Source organism: Homo sapiens, chromosome 9 (assembly GCF_000001405.40).
Source record: "Homo sapiens chromosome 9, GRCh38.p14 Primary Assembly".
Taxonomy (NCBI): Eukaryota; Metazoa; Chordata; class Mammalia; order Primates; family Hominidae; genus Homo; species Homo sapiens.
Genome location: NC_000009.12, coordinates 101,524,248 through 101,551,439, shown reverse-complemented (window position 1 = coordinate 101,551,439; position 27,192 = coordinate 101,524,248). Strand labels below are relative to the sequence as shown.

At 40.5% G+C, this 27,192-nt stretch overlaps 2 protein-coding genes across 4 annotated transcripts in view, besides 2 other annotated features; one reads left to right on the top strand and one right to left on the bottom strand.

Moving 5' to 3' along the window:
* RNF20 (ring finger protein 20) overlaps nucleotides 1-17,587 on the bottom strand; it is a 29,492-nt gene extending 11,905 nt beyond the window's left edge. The window contains exons 1-11 of one of the 3 annotated variants that reach the window (XM_047423594.1): nucleotides 17,472-17,587; nucleotides 17,140-17,295; nucleotides 15,888-16,042; nucleotides 11,070-11,237; nucleotides 10,803-10,950; nucleotides 10,465-10,647; nucleotides 6,555-6,673; nucleotides 4,474-4,620; nucleotides 4,226-4,303; nucleotides 3,922-4,041; nucleotides 655-834 (exon numbers count right to left, since the gene is read on the bottom strand). In XM_047423594.1, the coding sequence (XP_047279550.1) occupies nucleotides 655-834; nucleotides 3,922-4,041; nucleotides 4,226-4,303; nucleotides 4,474-4,620; nucleotides 6,555-6,673; nucleotides 10,465-10,647; nucleotides 10,803-10,950; nucleotides 11,070-11,237; nucleotides 15,888-16,016 (1,272 nt within the window). In that variant the 5' untranslated portion in view covers nucleotides 16,017-16,042; nucleotides 17,140-17,295; nucleotides 17,472-17,587. Of the gene's footprint in view, nucleotides 1-654; nucleotides 835-3,921; nucleotides 4,042-4,225; nucleotides 4,304-4,473; nucleotides 4,621-6,554; nucleotides 6,674-10,464; nucleotides 10,648-10,802; nucleotides 10,951-11,069; nucleotides 11,238-15,887; nucleotides 16,043-17,139 lie in introns of all 3 variants that reach the window. The other 2 variants (XM_011518862.2, NM_019592.7) reach the window with 2 other exon arrangements.
* Nucleotides 17,716-17,845: an enhancer, noted in NCBI's record as "active region_28726". NCBI's record gives its function as "activates an Ori minimal core promoter by ATAC-STARR-seq in GM12878 lymphoblastoid cells {active_cell/tissue: GM12878}" and the evidence as "EXISTENCE:reporter gene assay evidence [ECO:0000049][PMID:35858748]".
* The window catches only part of PGAP4 (post-GPI attachment to proteins GalNAc transferase 4), a 60,517-nt gene continuing 51,078 nt past the window's right edge, over nucleotides 17,754-27,192 (top strand). The window contains exons 1-2 of the mRNA XM_024447701.2: nucleotides 17,754-18,763; nucleotides 19,881-19,952. The gene's annotated coding sequence lies outside the window, so the exon portion shown is untranslated. The remainder of the gene's footprint in view (nucleotides 18,764-19,880; nucleotides 19,953-27,192) is intronic.
* Nucleotides 26,576-27,075: an enhancer, noted in NCBI's record as "H3K4me1 hESC enhancer chr9:104286647-104287146 (GRCh37/hg19 assembly coordinates)". NCBI's record gives its function as "activates a minimal SCP1, AML or CMV promoter by ChIP-STARR-seq in naive H9 embryonic stem cells {active_cell/tissue: H9 hESC(naive)}" and the evidence as "EXISTENCE:reporter gene assay evidence [ECO:0000049][PMID:30033119]".

Below are 27,192 nucleotides of genomic sequence, written 5' to 3'. Positions count from 1 at the left end.
AGTATTCAATTCATTTGTCAGGCATATATTAAAAGACCAACTATTATAACCATTACCTTAAAAACTATGGAAGATACAGAAATGAACATATGAATAAAAGTTTCTATCTTTTAAAAAAATCATCTACTGGTGCCATTATATGCTTTTTGTTTAAGAAATGTAAGTAATTTTGCAGCTTCTACCCACTATTTTCTCACATACACGTAAGCTCTAGCCATATTAAACTATTTCTCATGCTCTCTCATACCTTTATATGTGCTGTTCTCATGCCGGGAATTCTTCTTCTCCTACTTTCAACTACCAATAATTTATCCTTAATATTTATACCTTACTTTTTTAAGTGGAATCAGGAAACTTCCACAGTCAAATCAGACACTCTTTTCTCATGTATCACATCTTTTGGCTATGCTGCCATTGTACCACATTGCATTCTAATGGATACTATTCTCCCATTACTGCAGACTACAAGATCTGTGAGGGCAGGAATTTTGTCATCTCATCTTTATATGCCCAGTACCTACCAGAGTAAAGACCTACTGCCACTCTATGAATGACAGCTGAATGAATGAGAGATTAATTGCACATGAGGGAGTAAAATTGTAAAATTTAGGAGGCAAGAAAGCTTACATACAAAAGACAAGGCAAGGCTATTACCTCAATAAGCTCAACCTGGTGCTGGTGGGTTCCTCTGGTGCCATGAAGCAGGGTCCGAGCCTCATCCAAGTGTGCTTTCAACTGTAGGCTCTCATTATACAAGACGGAGAACTGTGACTGCATGCAGCGATATTCTGGAGTTTCCTTAACGACTTGCTCCACTGCACTCCGCAATTCCACCTTAGGAGGGCCCAAAGCAAAGTCAGAAGCAGAATCTAGCATTGCCCCAGACGCTAGACAGGAAGTAAAATTTTGAACTCACTGATGTCCTACACAAGAGAGACAATTTTATAAAGATTATTAAGTTATCTACCCATTGCTGTAGTTATGTAAAATCTACCCCAAAATTAAATTAGACTAACTAGGAGATGGTACCTGGATATACTGTATTCTTTCCTCCTAGAATTGTTTTGATATGTGTTTTATATTCTGTGTCAAATGAGCCACCAGAAGAGTGAAATTTGTCAGGATGCTTATTTTAAAAACATAGTTGAGGACCCCAGTCACTAACTTGTTCTCTTTAATAACAGTGACAGAGAAAAAAATTGACAGGGTATCAAAAATAGTTATGCCTCTCCTAAGCAACTATCTGATTTAATTACTCAAACACTTTTAACTGATTTAACTTAGGTTGTTTTTGTTTTTTATTTTTCAGTTCAAACATCTTTATTCATATCATTTAACCTACAAACAACTTGTAAAATAGAGATGACTATGATCGAAAGAGGAGTGAGAAAGACTTCCAGAATCTCTTTTCTTCTCCTAAGATGTGGGCGGCAAGCCACCCAGGTGCCGAGGCAAGAGACCGAGGACACGAGCTGTTCCAGTATAATAAAATATAAAACAAGAATAGTTATGCCAGATATAGATCTTAGATATGATTATATATGAATATCATTAATCATCAGTTTGTAGCAATTACTCTTTATTCCAATATTATAATAATCCTCGCTCTATAATCATAACCTAGGAAAAACCAGGCCATACAGAGATAGGAGCTGAGGGGACACAGTGAGAAGTGACCAGAAGACAAGAGTGCGAGCCTTCTGTTATGCCCAGACAGGGCCACCAGAGGGCTCCTTGGTCTAGCGGTAATGCCAGCTTCTGGGAAGACGCCCGTTACCAGGTGGACCGTGGTCTAGCGGTAGCGTAAGTGTCAAGGGAAAACACCTGCTACTTAGCAGACCAGGAAAGGGAGTCTCCCTTTCCCGGGAGGAGTTTAGAGAAGACTCTACTCCTCCACCTCTTGTGGAGGGCCTGACATTAGTCAGGCTCGTCCGCCGTTATCCGGAGGCCTAACCTGTTCAGTGGTCACGCTCCTAGGCCGCCTTCATGTTCCATCCTGTACACCTGACTCTGCCTTCTAGATAGCAGTAGCAAATTAGTGAAAGTATTAAAAGTCTCTAATTATCAGAAATAATGGCATAAGCTGTTTCTCTCTCTGTCTCCTCTCTCTCTATGCCTCGGCTGCCAGGCAGGGAAGGGCCCCCTGTCCAGTGGACATGTGACCCACGTGACCTTACCTACGATTGGAGATGGCTTGCTCTCCTTATCCTGCCCCTTTGTCTTGTATCCAATAAATATCAGTGCAGCCTGGCATTTGGGGCCACTACCGGTCTCCGCAACTTGGTGGTAGTGGTCCCCCAGGCCCAGCTGCCTTTTCTTTTATCTCTTTGTCTTGTGTCTTTATTTCTACACTCTCTCGTCTCCGCACACAGGGAGAGACCCACCGACCCTGTGGGGCTGGCCCCTACACTAACAACCTAAGAAGAAAATTCTTCTGGGCAGGTTTGAAGACCAACAGGATCACCAATCGTGTTTCTTTCTCTGTTTTGGTAGCAAAAAACTGCAGAGCCAAACCTGTGGAATCACTTCGGTAAGCACTGACATGTGAATGGCCTCCCTTCCACAGTATATATATGCCCCCTGCAAACATCTTGTATACAAGCCCCACTTTAATGCATTTTGGATCCTCACCCTAGTTTACCCTACTTCTCATTTTTCTCAACAACTCCTACATTACAGCACCTTGATTTAGTCTACATATCTTTGTATGTTGCTTTAAATCCTTTTCAGGGCAAGGCAGAGTACATATAATAAGTAAATATGTAAGTAAAGAAGTAGATATATCAACAAAACTTAACATTTTTTCTTTGTTCCCCCCAGCTTTATTAAGGTATAATCAACAAATAAAAATTATACATATTTAAGGTATACAATGTGGCATTTTGCTATACATATACACTGTGAAATCATTACCACAATCCACCTAATTAACAAATCCTTCACCTCACAGTTATCTTTTCGTGTGTGGCAAGAACATTTAAGATCTACTCTTAGCATATTTCAAGTACACAATACAGCATTAATTATAGTCACCATGCTACACATCACCAGAACTTATTCATCCTGCATAACTAAAACTTTGTACCTTTTCCCCAACATCTTCCGATTTCCCCAACCCTGGTAACCACCATTCTACACTCTGCTTCCAAGATTTTGACTTTTTTAGATCCCACATACAAGTGAGATCATGCAGTATTTGCCTTTCCGTGCTTGGTTTATTTCAGTTAGCATAATGTCCTCTAAATATATCCATGCTGTTGCACATATACACACACACACTCACATACAAACACACACCACATTTCTTTATCCATTCAGTGTACAGTTCTTTCATCTCCCTGGTTAAGGTTATTCACAATTTTTTTTAATGGTATTGTAAATGGGATTGTTTTCTTAATTTCTTTTTTATAGAGTTTGTTGTTGGTATATAGACACACAATTGTTTTTGTATGTTGATTCTGTAGCCTGCAACTTTACTGAATTCATTTATAGTTCTAACAGTTTTTTCGTGGAGCCTGTAAGGTTTTCTATATATAAAGTCATGTCATCTATAAACAGAAACAACTTTACCTCTTCCTTTCTGATTAAGAGGCCTTTATTTCTTATCCTTGCCTAATTACTCTGGCTAGGACAAAAGTAATGACAGCGAGCATCTTTATCCTGTTCCTGATCTTAAAGGAAAAGCTTTCAACTTTTCGCCATTGGGTATAATGTTGGCTGTGGGCTTGTTTTATATGGCCTTTATTATGTTGAGGTACACTTCTTTACACCTAATTTGTTAAGAGTTTTATCATAAAAGGATGTTGGATTTTGTCTACATTTTTCTTATCCCTCATGAATACGCAGATTCACAACTATGTATATACGTGAGTTGATCAGCAGAACGTCTGATTTTACTGCCCTTCAGGGATGCGTTCCTACCTTCAGCTTTTCATTTTGTGTAGTGACCTCCTCAAAGTCTTGCCGAAGTTTCTCCAGCTCACAGAGACGGTTCTGAGCCAACTCTTTGTTCTCCTCAAGCTCTGCATTCATTTCCTCAAACTGCAGAGAAGCAGAAAAATAGAGAATAAATAAGTATTCTTCTTAAATCATTTCTAAGCTTCCTTTCTTCACTGATTCGCTATTCCAGCAAAACCCCATGATGTCACTTGTGAACACAGTCCTAAGTACCTAAGCATGAAAGCTGACATACAGTCCAAAACATGTCCTGAGTCACTGATTTTACCTTCCGAGCATTGATAGTGATTGTGCCGCCATACAGACTGCTCCCCGCTCCATACACCTTATAACCTTTGGAATTCACCTACAGAGAACACAAAGATTCTTTAGTGAGAGACTCTTAAGATTTCAGTCTATAACCAATGTACCTTCAAAGGATGAGATTTTTTCCTCAAATACCATGCCCCAAGGTGAGTCTTCCTGAGAACACTCCTTAAAATGATTCTAGTCTCCAAGCCATAAAACAGCACTGACCCGTTCTAGGACTTCTGCTAAGTGTCGGTTGAGTCGCTGTTCCCTCTTTCGAATTTTGTCAATATCCCACTGCAGGTCATCAATCATGGACTCCAGGACAGACACTCGTGATTCGGCTGTCTCCACTTTACTCTGCAACTTGGAGAACTACATCCCAAAGACAAACATTCAGAAACATATAGCAAAAAAAGACCAAATTCCATAATATTAACCCTTGCTTATGAGTAATTATAGAAAAGAGGCAAATAGAAGATGCTTCACCCTCTTCCCAATGCATGATTACAAAAATGAAATCACGGATTCCTCCAACAATTCTGTGTCAGTTATAATCATGCAAACTTTAAGTCTAAAGTCTATAAGAACTCTCACACAAAGAAAAGACCACCTAAGATTCAACAATTTTTCTACCTCTGAAAAGCACCATTTCTCTGGACAGACCACAAACTCATAAAAATTTTGTAATTTTTTAAGAGATAATAAATAGTATCTTTTGTTTTGTAAGATAAATATTTTTTCAAAAAAACCATTTTTACCCCCAAATTTCTCTCCACAGTCCCACAAAAGGTAATCCATTCATTCACAACAAAAGAAAACTTCCATACTCTTTTTTAAGCTCACCCCAGAGCAATCTAGAGTCAGATACAATACAGTATAGATTATACTATAATCTAAAGTCAGATACTCTATTTAGGAGCTATACACCAGCTAACACTATTTAGTATTTTAACTACTAAACTATTACAAGTTCACATTAATCTATATATACCCTTTGTGCTAGGTTTTAAAACATGACACAAAAATCCTTTGAAAGTCCTCTGAACAAGAGGTGGGATCTTTGTTCCCTCCTCTTGAATCTGGGTCAACTTTAGAGACCCAATGGAAATGTCACTACACAATTTTGAGGCTATATCAGAAAGGCCATGAAGGTTCTACCTGGTGATCTTGGGATGCTCACTGGAAGAAGTCAGCCAACATGTAAAAATTCCAACCATCCTGAGACTACCATGATGGAGAGGCAAACTGCAGGTATCCCAGTAGACAATTAACCCAGCTGACAGGCAGCATCAACAGCCAGCCATGAGAGCCAACAAGGACATCACAGTTTAGCAAACAACTGCCCTCCAGGTTAGTAATACTATCTGAGATTTGTCAAAGGGCTAGAAAAGGAAGACCTCTCCATCTTGGTAGCACCTAGTCAATGTCTTAAAACATGATAAAAATATTCTATTTTCTTACTAGACTCCAGTTTATTTATAAGGGCTACTACATTCTAACCCCTTTGAAGGTCCAGGATAATCCATATGAATTAATAAATTCCCCAGATGATATTCATGCAACCAGGCCAGCATGGACCTTAACACTGGGGTTTAGTAAACAAAGGCATATGAAGAACAAGAGCTTTGAAGTCAAACAGACCTACAGTCACAACACAGCTCAATCACTTTCTAGCTATGTGCCCTCAGAATAATCACTAACCTCTTTGAATTTGTTTCTTTGGCAATAAAATGGGAGTTGTTTTGCCATTAGAGATAACATTCATAAAGTGCTTAAATTCTAGGCACTAAGTAAATGGCAACTACTAAATTACTAATTAGCATAAGAATTCAGTGGCCAAACTAAGGTGGGGCAAATTCCAGTAGAATATATTTTGAACTAAATCAAAATGATCATCAGAAGTATCAGAAAAGTCATTTAAGGCCTATCATCACTTTATCTTGATCATTTTGTGTAAATAAATAAATGTCCAAATCTTGGCATGGTTTAATCATGGCATTATTTGCACCCAAGTTTAGACTGAAAATTGACATTCCTCAAATTCCTAGGACATCATCAATACAGTAGTTTCTACTTCCCCATTCCCTGTGGAATTTCTACCACGCCATTCCTCAATAACACTATACAGTCTTTTATATTTAGGGTAATTCATTATTTGGAGGTTTGGAGTTGTGTTGTGTTTTACAAAATCCCCTATGATATGATAGGCCTTCTAGAGTAAGGTAATCTTTGAGGTGCTCAGAATTGTAAGTCAACATCTGCCACAGCCCACTAGACACAGCCATCTCTCCTTTTTGGTTAAGTACCTCCTGAGACATGGTGCGATGCTTTTCCTGAAGAAGATCTGTCAATTCCTGTAGCCTCATATTCTCCTGTGCGAGGAAAGAGTTCAGCTCCTGCACTGCTTCCTCCACTATCAGATTATCTGGGGAAGAAGAACTATACTTTAATTTAGCATCTAGAGTGTCATTTTTTTTTTTTTTTTAAGACGGAGTCTTGCTCTATCGCCCAGGCTGGAGTACAGTGGCGCGATCTCGGCTCACTGCAACCTCTGCCTCCAGGGTTCGAGCCGATTCTCCTGCCTCAGCCTCCAGAGTAGCTGGGATTACAGGCACATGCCACCACACCCGGATGATTTTTGTATTTTTAGTAGAGATGGGGTTTCACCATGTCGGACAGGCTGGTCTCAAACTCCTGACCTCAGGTGATCCACCCACCTCAGCCTCCCAAAGTGCTGGGATTACAGGTGTGAGCCACCGTGCCTGGCCTATAGTGTCAAATTTTAAAACTGTGTATCCTTGGCCAGGTATAGCAGCTCACGCTGTAATCCTAGCACCTTGGGAAGCCAAGGCAGGCCGATCACTTGAGGCCAGGAGTTCAAGACCAGCCTGAATAACAAAGCAAGAATCATATGCTCTTATCACATATTCTCATATCATATATTCTGAAATACTATGTTAGGGGCACTTCTGAAGCTTAAAAACCAAAATGTACACTACTATTTACAAAGCAGGTAGGTAAATCCATAGAACTTATTACACCAAGTTCGTATGTTTAAAATTAGAGTTGCAAATACTATAGCTGAAATCCAAATGTAATTAAATGAAACCAGATACTCTCAGGATATATACCACCCATCAAAGAGAGTTATCAGGAAGAAAAATATGCTTTCTCATATCACCTCTTGGCATTACTCTTAGTATCAATACAGAACAGGTTGGTCATATGGTGGTTTTCATGGTTTTCAAGCTAGGCTTGCCCATCAGAATCACTTGTGGAACTTTTAAAATAGACATTTCCCTAGGACCTATCTCATACCTACTTAATAAGAACCTCCATGGGCAAAGCCAAAAATAAGAATATGCTCAGAAAACTCCCAAGGTTATTCTGATTCATAACCTGAGTTAAGAAGTAGAGACTGAATTTTAGTCCTCTCAATATCCTAAGCACTGAGGACAGGGCTAGAATACAATAAAATTCAATAAATGTTTAGTGAATTTATAAACAAGCCCATAAATGCAATTCTTTTGAATCAAAGACCAAACAAACAGACAGTACTGCCCTGGCAGGTTAGACAGTGCCGCCCTGGCAGGGTTAGACAGTGCCGCTCTGGCAGGTTAGACAGTGCCGCCCTGGCAGGTTAGACAGTTCCGCTCTGGCAGGGTTGGACAGTACTGCAGTGGCAGGGTTAGACAGTGCCACCCTGGCAGGGTTAGACAGTGCTGCCTTGGCAGGTTAGACAGTGCCGCCCTGGCAGAGTTAGACAGTGCCGCTCTGGCAGGTTAGACAGTGCCGCTCTGGCAGGTTAGACAGTGCCGCCCTGGCAGGGTTAGACAGTGCCGCCCTGGAAGGGTTAGACAGTGCCGCCCTGGAAGGGTTAGACAGTGCCGCCCTGGCACGGTTAGACAGTACTGCCGTGGCAGGTTAGACAGTGCCGCTCTGGCAGGGTTAGATGAATTTATAGACCTTACTCTATAAGGCCTATACTTGCTCTAGAAGGCCTTACCTTACTCTAGAAGGCCTATCATATCATAGGGGATTTTGTAAAACACAACACAACTCCAAACCTCCAAATAATGAATTACCCTAAATATAAAAGACTGTATAGTGTTATTGAGGAATGGCGTGGTAGAAATTCCACAGGGAATGGGGAAGTAGAAACTACTGTATTGATGATGTCCTAGGAATTTGAGGAATGTCAATTTTCAGTCTAAGTCAGGGGGATGAACTTTCAAACAAGTTACAACTGATGCTATAATTCATACTTTATACATCTTTATCTCTTAGAAAGTTCAGCTTACCAATGGCAATTGCCTTTTGTGTTACAAATAATGGCATGGCTATTTGTAATGTTTCTACTTTTTAACTTAAACCCGACCTTAAAATGCATGCCATTAAATAGTAATTTTAAAGTCGTTTGATATACTACTCATTTTATTCCCTTTTTAAATAAAACAATTGTTTCACTTGATATTCATTTATGAAATCAAGTTTAACATAGTCTATGCACATGGCATATTAATTACCATATTACTAAAATTTAACAATACCTTCTAACTATTCAATTAGAGCCCAAGGAGAAAGAAGCATATGTGCACACACAAAGCACCATTATTTTATATTAGGTGACAGGGAGGTTCACATCCATTCATTCCCCATTGACTAAACATCTGCTAGATGCCAGATGCAGTGCTAGAAACTAGAGAAACAAAGAAGAGTGAGCCAAACTACTGAACCAAGACACAGTTTAGCTGGGGACATGCAAGTAGATGTAAGATATTAATACAAAAGTACAAAAGTCTGAGAGGACATAAAACACATTGTTTAGAATGGTTATCTTTTGAGAAATGAGAATGGGGAAACTTTTGTAGTCTACTTATTTGTATTTCTGACTTGTATATTTTTAAACAAGTATCTGTTTTCCTTATAATAAAATACAGAAATGCATAATCTAATGGAAAAGCAAAAGAAACCCGTGACCAAATTTTCACAGGCCTTCTACAAGCTGCTTAATTCTGTTGACAACTTAGCCCAATTACCCTTAAAAGCAAAATTACAGAATAATACAATTCTTATATGCTCATCCAATGGTTCAACCTCCATTACATTCAACTTATTTCCTTCAGAAATGAAAGGTTAAACATCTTAATGATAAGCAGGGAAATTAAGATATTACAACTAGACCATGATTATTATTGAAAACATGAAATCAAGGCATTTTTTTTGCATTTGAGCAAGGTATTTATGCCACAAATGACTAAAGATGTAACCTAGCTACACAAATACTTTACTGTACAAATTTAAATTTTTGCATTAACTCTGAGTAACACAATTATCCCAAATAATTATTTTATTTCAAATACTCTTTCATCCATAGAATATTTTCTAATAATCCTTTTAACCATACAGATCATCTGTCAACTCTAAAACCTGCACCAACTCTTTTTAAAAACATTAGCGATAATGAAAAATAAGTTAAGTAAAAATTAACTTTTTCAAGTCAAAATTCTGTAACTAATAATTAAATAATATAGTTGTTATTTAAAATAAAGTATTATCACTATAAATCAATAGCCTACATACACGATAAACAGATCCAGATATTAGAGCTGTTTATTAAATAATAAAGTTAATTCTGCTATTTACAAAACTGTCATTAATAGAGTATATCAGTATAGAGCTGATAAACTCTTTCCTCAGCTTATTAAAGGACTGTCATGTGGCTCAAAATGAGAAGCACTGATAAAAGATTAATATGCCATAATGAAGACATTACCAGTAACACTGAAGGTTAGAATTTCTAAAAATTTAATTAAAATATATAGTCCAGGCACAGTGGCTCATGCCTGTAATCCTAACACTTTGGGAGGCCAGAAGAGAGGATCTCTTGAGGCCAAGTTTGAGACCAGCCTGGGCAACATAGCAAGACTTCCTCTCTACAAAAAGGTTAAAATATTAGCCAGGTGTGGTAGTACGTGCCTATAGTCCTAGCTATTCGGAAGCTGAGGCAGAAAGATTGCTTGAGTTCGAGGATTCAATGGGCTATGATGGTGCCACTGTGTTCCAGCCTGGGTGACACAGTGAAACCTTATCTCTTAAAAAGTAAATAATAAATAAATAAAAATAAATATGTAAGCTTGCAAACTACAAATTAGCATGCAAAAATGAATTCTTATTCCTCCTCCACTACTCCCGGCCTCCAGGGTCTTGCCTCACCTCCACTGTTTAGCTTCCGGGATAAGAGCTCCACTTTTTCTTGCAATTTATCATAAACAGTCACAATCTGGGACACGGCTCGGCGGGAAGACTCCACACGTTCCTGCAGCTGAGACTCCATCTCTTCACTGGAACTGCTGGCCAAAGTAGCAAGGAAAGAGAAAGCTGGCTCTTGCCCTTCCCCTGAGGACACAGGGGGAAAAAAAGAAGCCCCCCAAAATTATAAACTGGAAATAACAAAATCCATTTTTTTTCCCTCAAATGGAAAGCCTCAAAGCAGAGCTCTACTTTAAAAACCCAGATAGCATGCAGTGATAGAATCCATCACGAACACTTGCCTCTCTCTCGGTCATCTTTACGCTCCTGATTGCTATCAGAGTCTGGTTCTGGTTCAGGCACAACAAGGGCTTTTCGTTCTGTGAGTAGGTCTCCCAAGCCCTGCTCCAGATCATAACGTTTAAGGATGATACGGATGTTTTCATCAAACTGGAGAAGGGTAGGTACAATTATGAAGAAACAAAGGACACAACTTTGGAAATGAAGAGAACAGTAAGGAGAACTAAATTGGTCAAATAAAAATCTGAACAAATAAACAAGTTAGCTACCTGACTCCAGTATCGGTTGACAATCAATAGTGAGGCATCATCAGTGGCCTGTCGTCGTTCCAGTTTTTCAATGTGCTCACGAAGTTCATCTTCAATGGCCTGCCGCTGATCCAACATTTCTGCCAGCTTGCGATTTTTGGTTTGCAGTGTTCTAATGTCTAGTTCCTCCTGCCCAGTAAACCAATCGTATTAGTCTCCACAAAGAAATAAGAAAAATGAGCCGTTAAACTCAACAAGGTCACAATTATTCATTAGTTATTTTCTATGAATAAAGCTATTGACTTTTAAAAAATCTTACAAGTAATTAAGAAGTAGAAGCAGAAGAGATAAACAACAGGTATATGATGGTGTGAGGAAAGAATAATACACACAAATACACCAGAACCTCAACCCATCTCGCTGTTCTAGTCACATAAACATCTACAAAGTAATGCTGCTTTAAGGCCACCATCCAGCTAGATCACCCTCGACTCCAATCAACACTGTCTTCTATCTCGTAAGCACCATCCTTCCTTCATTAAAGACTTCAGCACCTGGGTCCCTGTCTATCCCAGTTCCTGCCAATATATCTGGTGACTTCACCATACATGTGGACAAACCATCTAATCCTCTAGCATCTAGGCTGTCAGTTTTTCCAGTTCCTTCACTCCAAACATTATCTCCTCCACTGTGCTTCAGCCATGCACTTCAAAAGACACATCTCAGACTTTTGTCATTATCTGGAACTGTACCACATCTGAAATCTTATATTCCAACTTCCCATTCCCTGAAAAACACCACGTCTTTCCAGGTATCTCATGCCCTTAACCCAATATACCAATCCCTTTACCTCATCAAGATCTCCAGAATGTTGAATTCTTTTCTTTCTCCTTTTCGGTCTCCTTCTATCTCTGCTACCTTCCATATCTTAATCATATGCTATATAGTACATTCCTTCAAACACCTGCCTAACAGCCTCCTTGGTTCTCTGCCCTTAATCCTTTTATTCTATCTCTGTCAACAAACCCCAATCTGAATTAATCCAGTTATCTGGCTATTCCATTCCTGTACCCAGTATGCTGAGACTTCTAGAGAAGTTCATCAAACCACCGAAACCGGTGCCTTTACAAAATGAATTCTTAGCCTAAACAGATTTTATAATTTGTCTAGAAATATTTCTTTATCAAGTGAGCTATTTCCCATTCTCCAGCAAGGCAACATCAACCTCTACCAAACCCTGCCCCCTTTTACATCATACAAAACAGATGGCTTTACTTCCTATTTTAATGAGAAAATAGAAGCCATCAGATGGAAAACAATTCCCCATCTCTTTGACCCATTAACACAATTATGCACACATTCTTAAAACCTCAGCTTGTGCTCAGGATCCTGTTCTCTTCTGTCTCTACAAAACCCTCACTCCATTAGTAATTTCACATCCCTCTCAATATTTTTCTCTCTCCAGCTCCTTCCCTAGGACAAACCAGGGAGGGGTTGGTGGGAGGTGGGATTGGAGGATATAACAAGCAAAGAACCAGCATGTGGAAAAATAGTCTTACTTTTCTGAGGAATTAATGAAATCATTATTTTAAAGTGACAATTGTTTATTACACCACCAATTTTTGTTTCATTTTTCTCTTTTCCACTTTAATTAAAACATTCCTAATATGCCAAAGTAGTCAACAGTTTTCCCACTGTACCAGTTTATTAACACTATTAATAAACTATATCCTCAAACTCTTCTCTGAACATTGCCTTTCCCTTCTTGCTCTAACTGAAACTTGGATGAGAAACTGTTTCCCTGCAGGCTTCTCTAGTGGTGGCTGTTTCTCTTCCACACCCCTTGAAGCCAGAGAGGGATGAATATCCTCCTTATTTTCCATTGCCACTTCCAGGCCATTACCCCACCTTCCTCCCTAAAACCTCCTACCTCTGCAGCTCATGCCATTAGCCTATACCACCTGCCGCCATGCTCTGTTGAATTCATCTGTAAATGCCCACGTCGTTTCCTCACATTTCACAAAGACTTAGCACCTACCTTATTATCACTCTCCAATACTTTTCCTGTCATCATTCTTAATGATTTCAATACCCATACAGATAACCTTTCCTATACTTGAATCATCAAGTCACTGACCTCCTCTTCACCAATGATCTTGTCTTCTACCTCCTTCAGCCACCAACTCCCACATTTAGTCTTACTTGTACCTACATGTCCTCTATAAGCTCAATTTCAAACACCTCATTCTTCACAACTACCACTATTTTTCCAGCTCACTCTCTCCAGTTTCCTTACTCCAAAAATTCTTTAACCTCTCCAGGATCTACAATCCATTGGTCCTATACCTTTCACTTCTCTCACCTCCTTCTTTACTGAACTTAAATTCCATGATCAGTCATTATATAGTCATCTACTTTACAGCGATACTCCTTTATAAAGCATTGTCTCTACTCTCTTTTTCCTAATTCCTCTCCCCTCATATTCTCTTAAGCTCACTGAAAACAGGGTGCCATCCCCACTATTTCACCAACAAAGGTGTTTTGGTATCTCCAGTGAACTATTATTAAATATAACACCTCAGTCCTCCCTTTATTCCCCTTGTTCCAACTGAAACCTGAATGAGAACACATCAGCAGCACCTAATCAGCTCCTTCTTGAAATACTTTCTTCATTGAGCTTCTGGGAACCCATTCTCTCTTCCTATCCTCTTACCTCATTGGTCCCTCTTTGTTTGTATCTTTGATTAGTCCTTTCTCATTCCTTGACATGAAAATATTGTAGTGCCCCAGCAGACCTCTTTATGCTTATTCATTAAAGGAGTCTGTAGTCTCATAGATGTAAACACAACTTACAAAATGACGATTCCCAAATATACAGCTTTAGCCCAGACCTCTCTCTAGTATCCAGCTTATTAACTACCTATCCATTCAGAGGTCAAATAAGTATCTCAAACTTATATGTCCCAAACCAAACCAAACTCAATTCATCCTCCATGACTCCCAAAAATCTGCTCCTCTCATACACTTCTCTAGCTCAGTAAGTAAAAATTCCATTACTTTCAAAATCCTGGGATGATCCTCCCTCCTATCTTTCATGTGAGTTATCCAATCCATCAGCAGATCTTATCAATGCTACCTCCACAGTGGTCCAAGCCACCATGATTTCTCATTAAGATTACTGCAAAGGCCTCCTATAGCAAAAACTCTGTGCTAAGTCCTGTCAGCCTGCCAGATTTCAGCACAGCTGTGGTGGACAGCTCCATTTACACTGCCATTGTTCCCACTTCAAGCACACTTTGGAGACTCAGTTTTTCTGTCCCGCAATCACAGCTGGCTCCTAACAGCAATCTCAAAATGCACAGGAGGGACTGCTTTCAATGGCAACCTTCAACCAATTGGAGCGGGGATCAGTGGATACATGCCTCAGATCCCCACCTTTGGAGAGATGCAGTTATAGCGAAAGAGAGTAAGAAGAAGAAAAGAAAAAAGTCTGCTAGCTGGACTCTTGTTTATAATCCTTGCTTTTCTATAGTCTCCAAACACAAGTCAGAGCATGTTAGTCTCCTACTTAAGACTATCCACTAACTCCTCATTGCCTCTGGATAAAGTCCACACTGGGGTGTGTGCTATGTGCTTCCCATAAGTATGTGCTTATCCCTGTCAACAGCACATACCCCACTCTAAACAGTCTATTCCCTTGTCAGTGCTACCCTACAAACTAAAGTCTAGGGGCTGTCTTCAGTGTAAAGGATAGTGTCTGGCAAATAACAAATACTCAACAAATATTTATATATTGAGTGAATAAATGCCTTTGGAATGCATGATGCAAGGCAGTGCTAAAACAAAAATCACTTCCTGCCAGCAATATTAAGTACCAGAACCTCAGGCAGCCTCAGAAATGACACTTCATCAACAACTCACTATGAATGTTCCTATTATTCTGACTCAAAAAAAAAAATCAGCCTCTCTAAAATAAACCTCAGCCTCAAAATCAAATAAGCAATAGATGTGGTTTTGCAAGCCATACAAATGTAAAGCATTTTACAAAATGTAAAACATTTTAATATCACATCCCCATGTCTGATTTTCAAAAAAGCAAAATCTTGACGTAGATCAAAACCTGTAAACTTCTGATGTCTAACAGATATATAACATTACTATGAGATTTTGGTATATAATACTCATTTTGTCAGCTCCATAAGAGCAAGGATAATATCTATGTTATGCACCATTATATTATCTAGCCCAATATTAGCTATGAATGCCTCCCATTTATTGACTATTTACTATATTAAATGCAAAGTGTTAGCCCTTAACAGGGACTCTTATTTTATATGCATAAAAATCTAATGTAGCAGGTACTCTAATTACATTTTACAGACAAGAAAACAGGCAAAGGAAGGATAACACAAGGTCAGCCAGCTAGGAAGTGGTACAGCTCAGAGTCAACTCCAGGCAATCTGGTCTCAGACTCTCACTCTTCACCATACTCTCAATGATTGCTAAACTGTCTCTTAGAATCTGGTACTGACTTTTTCAGTGAATGAAAAATAAATGTGTATCTTCCCACTGCTAAATACCTATAGTTAATGTTGTATCAGGCACCACCTTCCCAGATTCTCGAAAGAATATAAGTACACCTTGAAAACAAAGAACAACTATCAATCTACCTCTCCTCTAGAACTGACTACCACATCATTTTACCTACTTTCAGCCTGTTTTATTTCCCTCTTCTTTTCAAATAGCTTCCCCATACTCCAGAAAGCTTCCATGAATTTTTAGTTTCAAGTTGCAACTGACAGAAGACAAGCACACTTTCATGGCACTGTTTCCTCATACCGTTGAAGAGACACCTCCTAGCTTAATTGTTTCCACTGTGGTCCCTGAATCTTCAACAGCTGCCTTCTTCTCAGGAGGCATGGAGGTGCCAGGTTCTCCAGCTGCTCTTTTATTTCCAATTCCTGACATTTTGGCAGAAGAAGACAGTCGTTTTCCTGATAGAAAAAAAGGCAGAAACTGACATAATATATGTAAGCAAAGCAACAATAGAGTAAAACAATAGAGTAAAAACTAGCAACTTTTCTGGCCAACCCTTTAACCTGGATCCATTAATTCCACAACCATCTCCATATTTCTCTTTGAGGAAAAAAAAAAAAAATTAAATTGTAGAGTAAAAGTCAAGGCGGGCCGGGCGCGGTGGCTCATGTCTGTAATCCCAGCACTTTGGGAGGCCGAGGCGGGCGGATCAAGAGGTCAGAAGATCGAGACCATCCTGCCTAACACGGTGAAACCCCGTCTCTACTAAAAATACAAAAAATTAGCCAGGCGTGGTGGCGGGCGCCGGTAGTCCCAGCTACTCGGGAGGCTAAGGCAGGAGAATCACTTGAACCCGGGAGGCGGAGCTTGCAGTGAGCCGAGATCGCACCACAGCACTCCAGCCTGGGCAACAGAGCGGGACTCCGTCTCAAAAAAAAAAAAAAAAGAAAGTCAAGGCTAAATTTACATGACTATAAATTTCTAAATAGGATGGTGATAAGAATGGTGATAAGAAATGAGACAATGGGCAAAGGGTGAAGAGACCAAAAATAAAGTTCTGGAATCTCTCTTCCTGTAATGCCAAAATCAGAAAAGGGCAGTTTGATTATGCCAGAAGTTAATACTACAGTGTTGAAAGAATCACAGAGCTGAAAGAGATCTGTGAAATGCCTACTAAAGTCATTAGTACTAGACAAGTCAGTTATCATCTCTAAGCCTCAGTTTCCTAACCCAGGAATAAATAACCACAGTATATACTTCCTATGCTTATTATAAAATAAAATGGATGATATAATTATAGAAAGAATTTGGCACAAAGCCGAACACAAAGTAAGCACTCAGAAACCCCAGCTCTTCTTTAACGTTTGCAGTGTTTTCCCTATTTCCAAACGCTCTCTCCACTGTTTTATGCAACCCTACGTTAGTTAGACCTGGGTGCGAATTTCAGTTCTGCCTGTTAGAGGCCGTGTTGCTTTGAAACAGTGAATTCGCCAAGAGCTTCAGTTTCCTCAACTGCACAATATTAACGAATATATTTTTCGTCTGCCCTGCCTACCTCCCAGGGTGCTCAAAGGAGGCGGAATGGATGCTAAAGCACTTTGGCTACTTCAGGAAACAACGCAGCCATCACCGAGACTAACAAGACTACTCTGCTTCCAATTCAAGCTCCAGGAGAGGACTATCGCTGGCAACAACCTCAGTAGGACCTCGCCTGGAGAGAGAAGACACAGAAGCAGAACAAGGCTGCAATCCAACTCGCTAAAAGCCAAAGACCTCAGCCTCAGCGTGGATAATTGCAGGCCCAGGAGACTGACGGCCCCAAAACTGGAGAGGGTGGAGACTCCTGAGGCCTGGCACAGTCCTGTTGGGCCCTAAGCGTGATCTAACCTAAGTTCTTTGAACTGGCGCCGCGCGGGAACAGAACTCGCAGCAGTTACTCACCAAGGCCCGTGCAGAGATTCCAGCTCTCACCCCTGACCCGCGGCGGAGACAAGGCAGAACTTCCGGGAGGCGGGGCCACGGAGAGGAAAAAGGGAAAGAAAAAAGGAAGTGGCTTCAACCCAGCCCATAGGACTATGAGACCCCGCCGGGCGGAAGTGACGTACGGAGAGGGCACGAGAAGCTTGAGCAAGCGCCGCCTCCCTAGCAACGCTGGGCAAGCGCGGGACCCTCTCCTGGCTACGACCTCTAAGAGTACTCGGGCCTCGCTGATGCCTGACGGAGAGCCCTTGGCTTTTGTTGACTTGTTGACCTTTGCTACTGCGATCTGGTCTTTCTGCGGGGATAAAGTTCCTCATTCTGTTGCTTGTCATTGGGGTTGCCATCACTCGTTCAGACGGCCGATTGGCTGACGGTCCCGTCAATCTCCGGGGACATGACTAGCCTCAGACACCTCAGAAAATTGTTCGTTGGTACCCCTACGTGCTGAAATGAAGAGTTCTGGAGAGAATCTGAGGGATTTGAGGAATTTCAGATGTTGGGGATTTTTTCCCCCGCACAGGGAGCGGTATTCTGCCCTGTCTACACATTAGAATCACTTGGCCTGGACAAAAGCTTTTTTAAAAAAGCGTTCCCCTCATCTCCTCCCCCCAAACCCCGCATTTCCATCCACTAGATTCTAATGCGTAAGCAGGAGTGACAACTACTGCCCTTGTGCTTTTTTGGGAACAAGAAATTGTCCAGGGAAAAGATAAACGCCAATCAGTCTCTGATCTCAGTACTAGTCTATTTTAAGCTAATTAAGCATTGATTTTTTTTTTTAAGTTTATGACAAACTGCTATTTTCCATTCAGTTAAACTAAATGCGTTTTAATGATAGGACGGTAATTAATCTAACCTATTAATGAAAAGCTGTATGTCTCGCAGAACTATGATAAACTACCTAATGACGTCAGCTAAGGGTCTAGAAATGGAAGAATGATCGCTATATCTTTTTTAAAAAATAGAATTTAGGCATCTTGGGAAAAAAAGAAGCTAATCTACACTGGATTTCTGTTAGTGTGAAGACTTTTGTCCCTGTACCTGCTAGGGCTTACCTGTAAATGAAGTAAGATGGTCAACACCAGGGAAACAAGTGTTCCTGGTGCCTGGCAGTGGAACACCTTGACTATCTTGGAAAGAATTAACTGGCCCCAAGTGGACTTCACATTTCATTCCGTGAAGTGGGAGCCTGAGAACATGTGAGTGGGGACACACCTGCCGAAAAGCATTGTATGAGACAATGACACTCATTCTCTCATCTTCTTTGGTTCCTCTACTCTTAGCAAGCCTTTCATTCATAGAACTACTGAATGGCAAGTAATGGTTTTTCTAGCCCAGAAAACTAGAGGTTCACAGACTGCATTTAGCCAACAGTTATGCTTTGTTTATTTTAGACAGTATTGGCTGTCCTGCGTGGTTAAAAACAAGAACAAAAATGAACTTAGTTGCCAACATTTAAAATATGGCTATTTTACATAAAAATCCAAATTATCAGTTTCTCTAAAAAATGTTGATGATCTTGCAACAGAAGGGTTATATTTTTGCATGGTCACATTGCTTAGAGCAAAGTAGTGGCTTCTTCTTTTTTTTTTTTTTTCTTTTTTTCGAGACAGAGTCTTACTCTGTCACCCAGGCTGGAGTGCAGTGGCACAATCTCGGCTCACTGCAAACTCCACCTCACAGGTTCAAGCAATTCCCATGCCTCAGCCTCCCAAGTGGGTGGGATCACAGGCACACGCCACCACACCTGGCTAATTTTTGTATTTTTAGTAGAGATGGGGTTTCGCCATGTTGGCTAGGCCGGTCTCAAACTCCTGACCTCGGACGATCCATCCACCTCAGCCTCCCAAAGTGCTGAGATTACAGGCCTGAGCCACAGCTACTGGCAATGAGCCACCACGCTTGGCGTGGCTCTCTTTTATTAATAGATCATGTTATTCTTGTTTACCATAATCCCCACTAATCTTTACTGGTTCCTTAGCACTAGTATAGTTTAATTTGAGTATCATCACTTGTGTGTTACATTGTGATAAATCAATTGCTGGTACTACGTAAGTGTCTGGTGGACATTATTGGTGATCTACCCAACAGCTATTCCCCTTCCCTCACCTTAGCAGAACCAGGATTTTTTTCATGTATCCATATAGCACTTTGATTCCATTAAGTCTTAGGGAAAACTGATTTCACCCCAATCTCCAAGGATTGTCTTAAATACTAAGTTCCATTTCCCAAGCCAAAGTCCTAGTCAGCAATTGACACTTTAATCAGGGTGAATTTCTTTGAATACTAGAATTGAAGCAGATTTTTATCTTCCAGATTTTCTGTGTGAGGCTGAAACTGTTGGAGGCTTCCTGAGATCATTCTTGAGAATGGAGCGACCACATAGGGGTGAGCAGAACCAAGAGAATCTCAGGGAAATGGAGCCAATCAACTGAGTTAGGTCACCCCTAACTTCAACCCACACTTGAGTGTTAGAGAAGATTCTACAAAGAGAGCAGACTTTTCTAGTACCTTTCAATTCTCACCATGTAGGTAACCATATTCTCTAGCAACTGGGATATATGTCTTTCTCAAAAGTTCCAGTTATCTAACACCTTCACAGGTGTCACAGCTCTCCAGAAAATAAAATCAACTCTGTGTGTGTGTGTGTGTGTGTGTGTGTGTGTGTGTGTGTGTGTGTAGAAAGAGATTTGAGAAAGAGAGAGAGGGACATTATAAGGAATTGGTTCACAGGATTGTGGTGGCTGGATAAACCAAAATCTACAAGGCAGGTTTGCAACCTGGAGCCCCAGGAAAGATTTGCAGTTTAAGTCTAAAGGCAGTCTGCTGGCAGAATTCATTCTTGCTCAGGGGAGGTTAGTCTTTGTTCTATTAAGGCTCTCAACTGATTGGATGAGGCCTACCTACATTTTGGAGGGTAATCTGCTTTAGTCTACCAATTTAAATATTAATCTCATCCAAAAAAACAAACAAACAAACAAACAAACAAAAACACCTTCACAGAATCATCCAGAATAATGTTTCACCAACTATTTGGGCACAGTGGCCCAGCGAAATTGACACATAAAATTAACCATCATAGTAGGTAACCATATTCTGCAGCTACTGGTGAGATCTGTCTTTTCTGAGCACCTCAGTCAGCCATCTGACATCTTCAAAGTAGCCTGTCTCACTCTAGCGAATTGGGAAAATAGAATAGATGAAGAGGAGGATGGCAGAGATCTCTCTCATTGAATGCATTCCCCATTCATTTCTGACCAGCCACCTTCTGTTCACCATCTTAATCAAGAGAAAAAGGAATATCCCTGGAAAAATAAGTTTTTCCCTCACTTATAAATGGGAAAACAGCATTAGCAATGATAAAAAGAATACTTAATATTTTATTTCACTTTTAAAGTCTCATTGCTTGTATCAAAAACATAATTTAAGCAAATAGTAATCTTTTTTAAAAGGAGAAAACAGACTCAGATTTTAAGTGATTTTTTTTTTCAAATGATGACTTAATGAGTATTTGTTGAAGGACCCAAGTCATTCGACCTCCAGCCGGTCTTCATTAACTACCCAATTCTGCCACAAGGTGGCATAAGGCGACACGCCTCTTTACCCAGTTCCCTTTCTAAAGCTTTGGTTGCACAGTACTGCGCATCAGTCATGTCCTGTCTTCACCCTAACTCTTAGAAACTTGGACAACTACTGAGGGTAGGCTTAATGCTCTCAAAATGGACAAAATTAAGATATTTTGGATTTTTGTTTATTGTTTTTTTCTACACTGCTTTACAAATGTTTTGTTCTAAGATTGTTATATCTCCAGGCATTCCAATATTCCATGAAATCTGGATTGGATTGTATGCCAGACATAATTCAGGAACTCCCTTATTTTAAACAAGTTGTATTTTACTTAGCATGGTATCACTCGTTAAACAGAAACATTTAGATACCATAGCCCTTGCTCTAGACTTGCTGAATCAGAATTTCCGGGGGAAAGCTCTCTGAAAATGCAAGTTCTTACTTTTGTAATTATGCTTCCTATCTGGGCACATTTAAGGAACACTGCTCTAGGTAATGATGTCCAGGTCCACCTGGGAGTGTCCTACAAAAACGAGCCCCCTCCTCTTGTCCTCACCTTTCCCTTCTCCTACCATTCACCCTCGCCACACCTTTCTCCTTCATTTCCATACCCCTGCCTCCTTCTCCCCAGATCACCTGGCCCACTATACTACATCATACTCAGCCCTCTTACTTTGTAATTTCTGGGGACCAGGGAGGTGGCTTACTCAGGGGAGCTAGAGCCAGGTCTGCCTTTTTTAAAGAGTGAGGACAAGGTGTCCTAACAGTCTATGGAAACGTGAGAGCTAATTGGTAGTCACAAATTGTCAGAGGAGCCCCATTTAGTTTAATGCTCTCTTAAAAAGCTGAGAGAAGGCCGGGCGCGGTGGCTTATGCCTGTAATCCCAGCACTTTGGGAGGCCAAGGCGGGCGGATCACCTGATGTCAGGAGTTCAAGACCAGCCTGGCCAACATGGTGAAACCCTGTCCCTACTAAAAATACAAAATTAGCTGGGCATGGTGGTGGTCGCCTGTAATTCCAGCTACTCGGGAGGCTGAGGCAGGAGAATCACTTGAACCCAGGAGGCAAAGGTTGCAGTGAGCCGAGATCACACCATTGCACTCCAGCCTGGGCAAAAAGAGTGAAACTCCATTTCAAGAAAAAAAAAAAAAAAAGCCGAGAGACACCATGCAGCTATAAAAAAAGAATGACATCATGTCATTTGCAGGGACATGGATGCAGCTGAAGGCCATTATCCTTAGCAAACTAACACAGGAACAGACAACCGCACGTACTCACTTATAAGTAGGAGCTAAGTGATGAGAACACATGGACACAGAGAGAGAGAGAGAGGAGCAACACAAACCAGGGCCTAGTGAAGGGTGGGAGGAGGGAGAGGATCAGGAAAAACAACTAACGAGAACTAGGCTTAATATCTGGATGATCAAATAATCTGTACAACAAACCCCCATGACAAAATTACCTATGTAACAAACTGCACATGTGCCTCTGAACTTAAAAAAAAAAAAAAAAACTAAGAAGTGTCTATGTTACAATCATACAATTGGTCTTTTATGTCCCTATGCCCAGCCATGTGACAGTCTATGTTTGGGTTTCTAACATTTTTATCATTTGTATTTCTATGATGCTTTTGTGTTTGGAAAGCAGAAGCCAGGTTGTCTTTGTGAATTTTCACTGGGTAGGTCTACTCTTCCATATTACTGTTACTGTGCAACTAGAAACCCACCTGGCCTTGGAGGAGAAAGAACAGCATCACTGAAATGCTTGCATCAGGCGTTGGGGATGGGGGTACAGCATGTAATTACAAAGGTAAGATTTGGAATTTCCATTTCCAGAAGCATGGCATGACCATCATTCAGAAAGCAAGCTGAGGACTAAAACTGGATTTCAGCTGAGGGCATTTGTCAAACTAGGTAAAGGAGAATTTAGGTTTTCATGGCCTTGGTAGGCAAGCAGAACAGGAGACAAAGCCCAGGGACTATTATGATTGGGTGCATATTAGAGACCCCTCCCCATACAAGCAAGGTGGAAACAACTACTTCCAACTGAAAGAAAATTGCCTGTCTCAAACTTTGGTATAAATATTTTTGCTGACTGGTACAGAATTCTAGAAGGCACTTAAAAAGAATTTCCAGAAATGTGGAAAAATAAAAGAAGGGCACAAAGAGGCCATGGGCAGTGCCTATGATCTCATTTTTACTTTTAAAACTTAAAAAATGCAATAAATCTTTTCCTGACCCTGGGTAATTGTGCTTATTTAGTACAAATCTGAGTACAGATTTTGGGGCAACAGTACCTAATTAGGCACACCCAGGCACACCCTAACTTACCCTTGGAGCTTACAGGAATTCCAAGAAAATCCACATGGGTAGAGATTGAGCGTCTTTCCCAATGGGCAGTCAAGATGATGAGATGGATCACTAAATTCTAAAGAATCCATGTCATGCTGTATACACACAGCAAGGAGGGCCTTAATATTAGCAAAACAACATCAAGTGTCTCACATTAAATAAATGTTGTTAACTTTAAGCTTATTTGGCTCTGTAGCCTTGTTTATATTTAATTTGTAAGTATATTTTTGTTTGTAAGCTGTATAAGCATAAGGCATGCATACCAAGTTTATATTTATACATTTTAACATTACAATTAAAATATTTTAAGTAAACATTAAGTGGCCCATGAGAAAATTGTTTTCCTTTGAAAGAGGGGTCCATATATTACTTAAGTTTGTAAAACATTTATTACTTAATTGTGTAGCTACTGTCTTGTGTGGCCATAATTATGTCTAGTCTTTTCATTTTCTTTTAAATTATTCTAGGATCAATAAGGGAGAATTGATATAAATATAACTGATATAGTATATCAGTTTAAACATGTATTGACTCCAACAACGACATGTATTAAGATATGAATTTCTGGTGCCCAAAGGCATATGGCCAAATTCAGTTAAAAGGAGGTCTTACAGCAGTAGTATACGGCCAGGAATCCACAAATGTTCGGAATCTTGCCTCATCAGCACCCCTTTCCTGACTCAGAAGAAAGAAAAAGGCTGATTACATTGATGACTAATGCAGTTACCTAGAGAGTTATGAATTCTCAAGAGACTGCCTCCAGAATCTCAGCGCTTATAAAGCCCTTCCAGGTGGGGCTGCCATCCTCGTCAACCCTGTGATACTTGTAGCACTCAGCCGACTCTCTCTTCTCACTGTCACAACTTCAGGAAACACTGATCTTAAATATGCACATGCTGATATATAGTGAATTCAAGCTTCATCTTTATTGCAGGATGATGGTAGTATCTCCTCCCAAAGGCATTTATAAAACAGGAGACACATGAGTTAATTTGGAAGAGGTGGAAGGAAGTTCAGGATTTCCTGATATCCCTTCCCTGTTCTTCCTCCCAAGCATAGTTCTGGTTGGTACCATTTACTTTGGAAAAATGGAATAAGTCATTATGCTTCACTTATTGAACTAAACCTTGAAATTACAATTTATGAACCACCCTAGAAGCTGGATTCATTTGCATCATGTACTTGAATAAGGTTTTGAAAGTAACTGGGGCCAGGCGCAGTGGCTCATGCCTGTAATTCCAGGAGTTGGGAAGGTCAAGGTGGGTGGATCACCTGACGTCAGGAGTTCAAGAGCAGCCTGGCCAACATGGTGAAACCCCATCTCTACTAAATACACAAAATTAGCCAGGCATGGTGGCGCATACCTGTAGTCTCAGCTACTTGGGAGGCTGAGGCAGGAGAATCACTTGAACCCAGGAGGCAGAGGTTGCAGTGATCCAAGATCATGCCACTGCTCTCCAGCCTGGGCGAGAGAGTCAGACGCCATCCCAAAAATAAATAATAAAAATAAATTTAAAAAAATAAAAGTACTGGATGCCAGGGTAATAGAGATTTCAATAGTACAGGGAGAAAGATACTTTTAATGGACTATGTCCAAACCATGCAGCAAATTTTGACATTACATTGACATTTCAAATATTCAGTTAACCTTGAAGACTATTCCCTTTCTCTTTTTCTTATTTGTGCTTGCTTTTATTAATAATCTAATAATTATGTGGGTAGCCACTTACAACAGAGTGATGGCCAAGGCTAATTAGATCAGTGTGTTTGAAATGTGATCTTAACATTTAGAAGAACAGCAAGGAGATGTGTTGCTTCAAGCTGTTAAATGCTAAAATATGTGAAGTACTGAACATCTTGTTTTGTATTTTTTTCTTCTTATGAAAACTGTCCTTTTATAAATAAATGTCAATTTGTACCAAAAGCCTAAACTATGTCATACCCAATGATTCAGCTATTCCAGGTTTGATTATATGCTTGAAAAAAATAGAATCACATACTTGTTTAAATATGACTGTACAAAAATGTTTAACATAGCATTATTTATTACTTAAAATTTTTAGAATCAATTTGTATAAATCATGAAATGTCCTCGAATATAGAATTCTATGTAGTCATTAAAGTTGTGATATAGATTTGTATTTCTTAACACTGAAATATAAGAATATGTTGTTGAATGGGATAAGTCGGTTTCAGGAATATATGCATAACATTTATTTTCTCTCTCTCTCTCTCTTTTTTTTTTTTTTTTTTTTTTGAGACGCTCTGTTGCCGAGGCTGGAGTGCAATGGCGCAATCTTGTCTCACTGCAAGCTCCGCCTCTCGGGTTCAAGTGATTCTCTCTTCCTTAGCTTCCTGAGTAGCTGAGATTACAGGCACCTGTCACCACACCTGGCTAATTTTTGTATTTTTAGTAGAGACAGGGTTTCGCCATGTTGGCCAGGCTGGTCTCGAACTCCCGACATCAGGCAATCTGCCCACCTCGGCCTCCCCAAGTGCTGAGATTACAGGCATGAGCCACTGCGCCCGCCAACATTTATTTTCATAGGAAAAAAAAAACATTTAAAACCAACGTATTACCAATTTTAGACGTACACAAATTGTCTCCACTTGTAGTCTCTGCTTCCTCATCTCCTATTCACTCTATTCTCTAAATGAAATATTTCAGCTATTTACGTGTAAATAAATATGAAGGGGGTTTAATATGTAAACTAAATAGCAAGCACAAACCTAGCTATTTAAAGAGAGGGCTTACTTTAGAAAGCAGTTTGGAGATTTCTCAAAGAACTTAAAAAACAACTACTATTTGACCCAGCAATCCCATTACTGGGAATCTACCCAAAGGAAAACAAATTGTTCTACCAAAAAGACATGCACTCGTATATTCACTGGTACACAATTCACAATAGCAAAGACATGGAATCAACCCAAGTGCTCATGAACGAAGGACTGGAGATAGCAATCATCAGGGCAGATGGGAGGCAGGACTAGATTGCCGCTCCGGACAGAGCAGCGTGTGGGAGCTCGCATTATGAATTTTAGCTCCAGATCGACTACAAGAACAAACCAGCAATCCCGAGAGGACCCACAGACCCTCTGAAGGAAGCGGACTACTCCTGCAGGACCCAGGAGAGCCCCCTAAAACTGTGAGTGCCCCAACTGTGGAAGTAAGAAAGGGAGGCCCTCTTCTCCTGAACACATACCCTCACTGAAGAAGCTGAAAGTCTGTTTGTGGAAGAAGTTTTTGACTTTACCTGGAGCTGAGTCAAGTTAGCCAAGTGAAATACAGGGGTAGAGGAAGCAGCAGTAAGGCCCTGGGAGCTCACGGGGTCCCCCAGCAGCCCATTCCTGGCTGGCACCACAGGGATCCATCGGGAGAGTAGACAGAGGAGCAGGGGCTAAAACTCCACAGGGAGAAAGAAATCTCTAGCTGAATTTTGTAACAATTTGAATGGGGTGAGAAGCCTCGTGGCCAGAACTCAGGGCAGGGCAAATCTGGTGTGCAGACTCACAGGCTGAGAAGGAACGAAGCCCTTTTCTTTCGCAGCTGGGAGGTAGATAGCCTGGGGCCGGTTTTCAAGCCATATAGCCCTCCACCTGGAAACAGACTGGGGCTGTTGGCAGAGGACACAGTGGGAGTGAGACCAGCCCTTCGGTTTGCATGGGAGCTGGGTGAAGCCTGTGACTGCCAGCTTACCGCCACTTACCT